Here is a 7,782-nt window from a genome sequence, read left to right as displayed (position 1 = left end):
CTCCATCTCAATAAATAAGTAAATAAATAAATAAATAAGAAAGACATATATATTTAAATAGATAACTATATATCCTCCCTCTGTTCCATTTACTAAATATGGTTAGAGGCATTTTTACTTTTTCCTAGAGCATAACATATGGATCACAATACCAAAAACCACCCAGGTCATACATTGGCTGTGGAGCTGAGCCAATTTGGAACAGGCAAACTGGCTAAGCCTGGGCAGCTTTGTCCCTGAGGGTGCACTGACGTTTTCTGTTCTTCCAGAGACAGGTTTATGGATAAGGCGCTGTGCCTCCAGGCAGAAGACAGACGCCCATGTGGATGATGTTGCTGGCAGGGCTGAGCCACCAGAGAGCTCCTTGACCCAATGCTTGCCAAAACTGTGTGGTTCATCCAATCTGGAGTCTCTGCCTGCAGATCACTCACTCATCAGCTCCACCCACTGGTTCACTGTCTACTTGCATGTAGTGAGCTAGGCTATGAGTGGTAGGAATTGCTCTTCCTACCACTGGACCTTGCCGCTGTCAGAATGGGAAGTCTGAGCTCAGTCACTTGAGTCAACAGTAAAGGAGAGGCTTGGAGTCCAAGATTGGCTGTGCCCCTCTGGATAAGGTGGCTGTACTGATGCAGAGGTGGGCAGACCTAGGAGAAAGGCCAGGCTGGGATGTTGGCAGGTGATGGAGCAGAGCCTGGGCTAGGGGTGCAGTAGGGTTGTCAACAGACTTGGGAGTTTAGGCTCTGCTGGGATTAGGGGAGGAGTTGAGATACGAGAGAACTGACAGAACCAAGGCAGGATCTGAGTCCAAGAGGGTATAGGCAGGTTATCCAGGGCGCTCAGGGACCTCAAGGCAGGGACCTCCTCATCATACTGGAGCTGGAGATTTGTATTTCTTAGTTCTTTGCCTAATATCTGATCTTTGCCAAGATACAAGGTCACATATGAAAATGCCTTCAAAAATATAGTAAGATGACATAAATAATGCTTAAAACTAATGGGCCAAGGGAAAGCAAGTGGTGTTAAATGGGAGGCTGAGACAGGGGATGGCTTTGAAAACTGAACTGACTTTGGAACCTCTGTCCACAGAAGGTGAGTCATAATTTGTGGTCTAAACCTAACTGGAAAGAATTGTTAGGTTAAAAAAAAAAATCAGTGTTCCCCAGAGGACTTTAATAGGATCCAGCATCTTACAGCATAATACAGTCATGTACCATATAACAATGTTTTGGTCAAAAATGGGCTGCATATACAACAGTGGTCCCTCGAGATCATGATATCATAGTTTTACTGTTTCTTTTCTCTGTTTAGATATATTTAGGTACACAAATGCCACTGTGTTACAATTGCATGCAGCATTCAGTACAGTAACATGCTATACAGGTTTGTAGCCTAACAGCAATAAGATATACCATGTAGCCTAGATGCATAGTACGCTATACCATCGGTTTTGTGTAAGTACACTCTATGATGTTTGCACAATGACAAAAGTGTTTGATGAGGCATTTCTCAGAATGTATGTCTGTCATTAAATGACATATGATCGTATTCAAAATGTCTAAGCTATAATCCAAAATCACTCAAAAAAGTACTAGGAAAATTTAAACTATTATCAATGGAAAAGACAACCAATAGATGCCAATCCTGAGACAACTCAGATGTTGGAATTATCAAAGACTTTAAAGCAGTTGTTACAGCTATACTATAAGAACTAGAGGTGAACACTCCTGAAATGAATGGAAAGATGAAGTTCTCAGGAGAGAAATAGAAACTACAAAAGAAGAACCCAATGGAATTTTAGAACTAAACACTACAATATCTAAAATAAAAATTCATTTTAATGGGCTCAATATCAAAGTGAAAGTGACAGAGAAAAGAATTAGTGAGTCAGTGAACTTGCAATAGGTAAATTGAAATTATCCAATCTGAAGAACATAGAGGAAAAACACTTAAAAAATGAACAGAGCATCAAGAATTTATGGGACAATATTAAAGGTCATGCACACCATTGTATTCCTGAAGGAGAGGTGAAAAAGATTGATTGCAAAAATAAAAATTGATGACATAATGGCTAAACACTCCCCAAATTTGGTGAAAAATACATAGATTTAAGAAACTCAGCAAGGCCAGGCACACGCCTGTAGTCCCAGCACTTTGGAGAACAAGGGTGGTGGATCACTTGAGCCCAGGAGTTTGAGACGAGTCTGGCCAACATAGGGAGATCCTGGTGTCTTAAAAAAAAAAAAAAAAAAGTTAGCCAGGCCTGGTGGCATGTCTCAGCTACTTGGGAGGCTGAGGTGAAAGGATTACTTGAGCCTGGGAGGTTGAGACTGCAGTGAGCCGTGATTGCACCACTGCACTACAGCCTGGGTGAAAGAGCAAGGCCCTGTCTCAAGAAAAAAGAAAAAGAAGAAACTCAACAAATCTGAAATATGATAAATTCAAAGAAAACAATGTCCAGACACATTATTATTAATCTACTGGAAATGAGAGGAAATGAAAAGTATTTTGAAAGCATCCAGAGAAACATTACAAAACAGAAATTAAATGTTTTATTGTAGCAGAACTCAATGAAATTGAAAACGGAACAACAGAGGAATATTAGTGAAATGAAAAGCTGGTTATTTAAAAGGATTAATAAAACTGATAAACTTCTAGCCAGATTGGCCAAGGAAAAAAAGAGAGAAGACAGATTACTAACATCAGGAATGAAAAAGATGACATTACTACAGACCTTACAGATATTAAAAAGATATTAAGGGAATACTACACACAACTCTATGCTCATAGATTGAATATCTTAGATGAAATAGACCAATTCCTTGAAAGACACAAACTATTAAAACTCACTCAATAAGGGAATGGAGTAGCTAGGCTATTTGAGGCAAGGGGCACGTCATTGGGAAACCTGAGGCTGGCTTGGCAGTTTTAACTCCAATTTGAGCCTCAACTCATCTTTAAGGCTTAGACATTCCGGATCTTGGGCACCAGCACTGTTGGTGATGGGGGGCATTTCTTCGTCACTGGAGCCCTTGACCACTCAGATGGCCATTTAGCTTCTGGATATCTCCTGGCTCACTGGCTTTCAGGACATCTTCTGGGTGTGGCTTAGGAGTTGGAGTCTCCTTAGACTTCCTATCTCCTTGACATCTTTGGCTCTTGAAGGAATCCCTAAATCTCCAACATCTTTTTCCTAAAGTGAAATCTCTGAGAAGATGCTGTCCCCTGTGCTGAGCCCCTTCAGACCCTCTACCCTCTGTCCTCTGCCTCTAGGTACTGCTCTTCTATGGCCAGAGTTTGCTGGGACATCACTCTCATCCATTGGGTATGTCCTGCCATTGTCTGACTTGAAGTGACTTTGGACTGCCTCTCTTGTCCCCCTAACAGTCTCACTCTGACACAATTTGTCCCTGAAGATGGTAAAAGGAGCTTAAAAGTTTGCCTGCTTTCCTTCTTGGACTCACGGTCCTCTGTGACCAAACTCAGGGACTTTTGGACTTCCTGCTTATAGCTGAGGAAGCAGGGAAGGAATCTCTGGGGTGAGGACTGAATTTTTTTGTGATCCTCTTGTCTCCTGGCTTCAGCTTATCTAACGGTTTCTTTCAAGGATCTAAAGAACCTCCGCTTAGCCATCATGGAAACATGGGGTGCTGAGGGAGAAAGGTGGACCTGGGAAGGAGCCATGATTGGGCCTCTGTCACCTTAAGTTTTATGGATTCAACAACTTTGAGAGGTAAGCTATACCTCTACCTCTGTCACACTCAAAACCATACCACCTGGGCTTCTAGTGCCTATGTAGCACTTGAATCAAGAAAGGAAAGCTTCCAAGAGGTATTCAGGCAGTATTCTGATTCATTGAGGGTGCCAAGGTTTCAGTTTCTAGAAAGATACAGGACTTCCCAGGAGGGGGCAATATATAGTTGGCAACAGTCATGAACCATGGCCATGGTCTCCAGCCTGGGACATTCGCCCAGCTTCTTGTCCAAGTGAATGTTTAGGGTGTTTTCCGATGGCTCTGGTCTAGGTTCTCTCTTGGACCCCTGGATAAGTCATTCCCTGAGTGACACTTCAAGCCATTTCTTGTCTCCTTCTAAAAGTCAGACCCTAGGCTCCTCATGGGGTAGCTTTTTAAGCACCAGAATAGATTTTTTTTTCTTTTTATCCTTCCTCAAGTTGGGCTCCATACTCTGCCTGTCATTCCCTACTGCAACTTTGCTGGGCCTCTCGTAGGAAGCTTCCGGGCACTTTGATGCCATCTTGCTTAGATCTTTCCTTGCTGCTTTGACCCTTACCACAGAGGACTGTACGGGTCCACGCTTGCCCTTTGGATGAGAATTTGTTCTCAGGCTGTATCTGTGCCAGGTGGGGCTGGTGTTGGATGAGGCTCTTTCAATGGTGGTGCCCCTCTTGCCCCCAGATCCTGCTGCTGACGGGACATTCTCCAGCAAGGATGGAGATGGGTGCTCTGGTCTGAGAGGCCACGCTATCCTGAGGAATGTTGACAGCTGAAGGATTCAAGGTTTCCTGAGATCTTTGGACCAAAAAAAAGTAAATGCCACAAATATTCTAGTTGCTTTTGCAATCAGTGCCAATTCAGTCATTGAATTTCCCTTGGGATGAGAGACTGTACGTCTTTCTGGGCTCTAGGGAAAGATACCCCACAGGCCCTAATCTGGGGTGAGAGTTAGAATGGGGGAGAGGATTGAAGGTGGGCCTGAGGTGGGGCTGGGATTGGGACGGGGCGGGGGATGCAATGCAGATTCTTTGGCCTAAATTAGGCTGGAGGCCCTTAGGAGAGCAGTGAGTAAGACAAATGGAAAATCTACTGGGGATCAACTACCAGACACCAGGACTGTAGCCTCCAGGAACTCGCTGTGCAGAGGGCAGACCCCAGAAAAGCTGGCTCCATTCCTGTTGCAAATGGTTCTGCCAGGTTTTGGGATCTGGGAGCTGCTGAGGACTGTCCAGACTGACTTGTCTTCAGTATTTCACAAGGGTTGGGAGCCTGTGTTGTTTTGCATGTCAGCAAGACATTGACTGTAAATTAGACCCAGAAGATTTCAGTTTATTTTTCCCATTGTTTGGGAAAAATCCCTCCTGCATTTCTCTCCTCCCTAACCTGGAAATGCACTCTCTTTGTGACTTGTATCTCTAGAGCTCCTGGATATCAGGGCTGAGGAAGACAAGCTACCATCTTAATACCTGCTGGCAGAGTTCCCTAGAGACAGGCCTCTGAGGAAGGGGGGGCCCAGGCAGAGGAGCTGTGGAAGTTAAAGGGGACCCAGAAGGAGGAGCATCTTCCCCAACCCCCATAAACAGCAGAAGTTCAGCTTGTATGGTCAATCAACCTTGACCCTCCCAGCAGGAGTCATCTTGCTACAAGCTGCCCTCATCAGGAAGCCTGCCCAGATGGCTGCAAAAGTCAGGAGATACAAGCTTCAGCCAGAAGCAGAATGGGAGCTGGGCATGATGGCTCACACCTTTAATCTCAGCACTTTGGGAGGCCAAGGCAGAAGGATTGCTTGAGGTCAGGAGTTTGAGACCAGCCTGGCAAACATGGTGACCCTGTCACTACAAAAAATACAAAAATTAGCTAGGTGTGGTGGCAGGTGTCTGTAATCCCAGCTACTCAGGGGGCTGAGGTAGGAGAATTGCTTGAACCCAGGAGGTAAAGGGTTGCAGTGAGGTGAGACTGCATCACTGCACTCCAGCCTGGGTGACAGAGCAAGACTCTAAAACAAAAAAACAAAAACAAAACAGAATGGGGATAGATAGAAGGCCCAGCAGGCCTGGTGGGAGTTGCATTCTCCCACACCATGGGCATTGTGGAACTTCCCTTATTCCTCATGCTGGGGCTTTCTTTCACATTCCCTTCCTATGGGATTCCCCTCCCATGCCAACCTCAGCAGCACTAGGGCCCTGGAGTCACACAGGCCATGCTAGGAAAAGGGGTACAGCAAAGGTGAAGAGATTAATCAATACGTGCTTTTCCAAAGAGCAAGCAAGTACAGTATCAACATGAGCTCCTTTCTGGCAATCTCTCCTAGCTGGGAAACCAGGGGACTTGGTCACACGTGGTGAAGGTAGGAGTGAAGGGATCATAGAGAAGCCTGGGGAAGGTCCTGGGACACTAGACTCTGACAGCCCCAGCCTCTGGTACACAGGGTGGAGTGGTCAGTGACAACAGTCCACAGGCTCAAGTATGTCACCACGTGTTATACTTGAAAGTGCTTTCTTACACGTTATCCCGTATGATCTACATACCTGTGTTGTGGGGGATACAGGCCAAGTGTATCTCAAGGAGGAATCTGAGCCTCCAGGAAGTTAAATATTTGTCCAAAATCTGAATCTCAAAGGTTTGCCTCCAGCTACTCTTCCCACTGCACCTCACAGCGCCATCTAGTGGGTGAGACCCATGGGCCGGCTCCATCATTCTTTCATTTCAGGGGATGGACAGAGCAGGCAATCTCCTAAGCACTCCAGATTCGGATTCCTTTTTATGAGTGTCCCTGCTGGGGGCTTTATCTTCTGAGAGTAATGGGCTCTAGAAGCTGACACAGCCTCAGAGGCTGTGGACCGGGGTCCTCATGGGAAAGGAGAGATTAAGTTTAGACCTTGAGAGTTCTGGGCTGAACAGGCAGAACCTTCTACTATTGACTGAATGTTTATATCCCCCTAGTTCATGTGTTGAAATCCTAATCCCCGGTCCAACAGTATTAGGAAGCGAGGCTTTTGGGAGGTGAGTAGATTGTGGGGGAGGAGCCTTCATGAGTGGAATTAGTGGCCTAATAAAAGAGACCCCTGAGAACCCCATTGTCTGTTTTACCATGTGAGGACATAGTGGGCGTCACCGGATACTGAATCTGCCAGTGCCCTGATTTTGGCATTTGCACCCTTCAGCAGTGTGAGAGATCAATTTAAGCCACCTAGTCTATGGGCCTATGGTATTCTGTTATTGCAGCCCAAACGGACTAAGACACTAACCTGGAAATGCACCCTCTTTGCTGCTCCTCTTTTCTCTGCATTGATGCTGAAAGACAAGAAAGGAAGGAGGGCTGAGGTCCAATGCTGTCTCTCCTCTCTAGGCAGACTATACTCATGGATAGTCTTTCTCCGCTGCAGGAGTGGAGCTCTATGTTACTTCCTTTTTATTCATTTGTAATGTGGGTAAAAGTGTTTTTCTATTTTCTTCTTTTGAAAACCTTAGAAAAGGGTTATCTGTGTATTCCTCTCGAGGAAGGGGACAAAATCTCTAATAGGGTTTGCTCCATGAGATGGGATTCAGCTCCACAAGGACAGCACTAGGGCTCCAGCCTCCGACTGGAACCTTTCAGAGGCTCAGCATTACTATCCAGATCAGCCCTAAAATGGAGGAAAGGCTTGGCCAGCACACCTAAATGGAGGGGACTGACAAACAGGGCGAAGACTCTGCTCCCCTTCGGTTATTCTGAACTCTTAATAATCCAGTCCCTGGCTGGGAATTTTTCCTGAACCCCTCTACCACATCCAGGTAGATGGTCTGTGAGTATTGGATAGAAGCCCTAGTCTCAACCGTAACCCCTCCATGTCCATAAAGATGATGCCCTCTTTTTTCCTGAGAGTTCCCATCTCAGTTGTCTCTCTGGGCTAACATAATAATTCATTTAGACAAGTGGGAAGAGAGACAAAAAAAAAAAGATTCAATCTCTGCTGGAGTCTGGCCTTCGGTTTCTGTAGGGTGGGACGGGAAGGACAGACTGCCAGCTTAACTCATAGTTTCCCCCACCCCGACTATTTAGTCCA

The sequence above is a fragment of the Homo sapiens genome, chromosome 9, assembly GCF_000001405.40.
Source record: "Homo sapiens chromosome 9, GRCh38.p14 Primary Assembly".
In the NCBI taxonomy this organism is placed as follows: domain Eukaryota; kingdom Metazoa; phylum Chordata; class Mammalia; order Primates; family Hominidae; genus Homo; species Homo sapiens.
The sequence above is the reverse complement of the archived record's forward strand: the minus strand, read 5'-3'. Positions refer to the sequence as shown.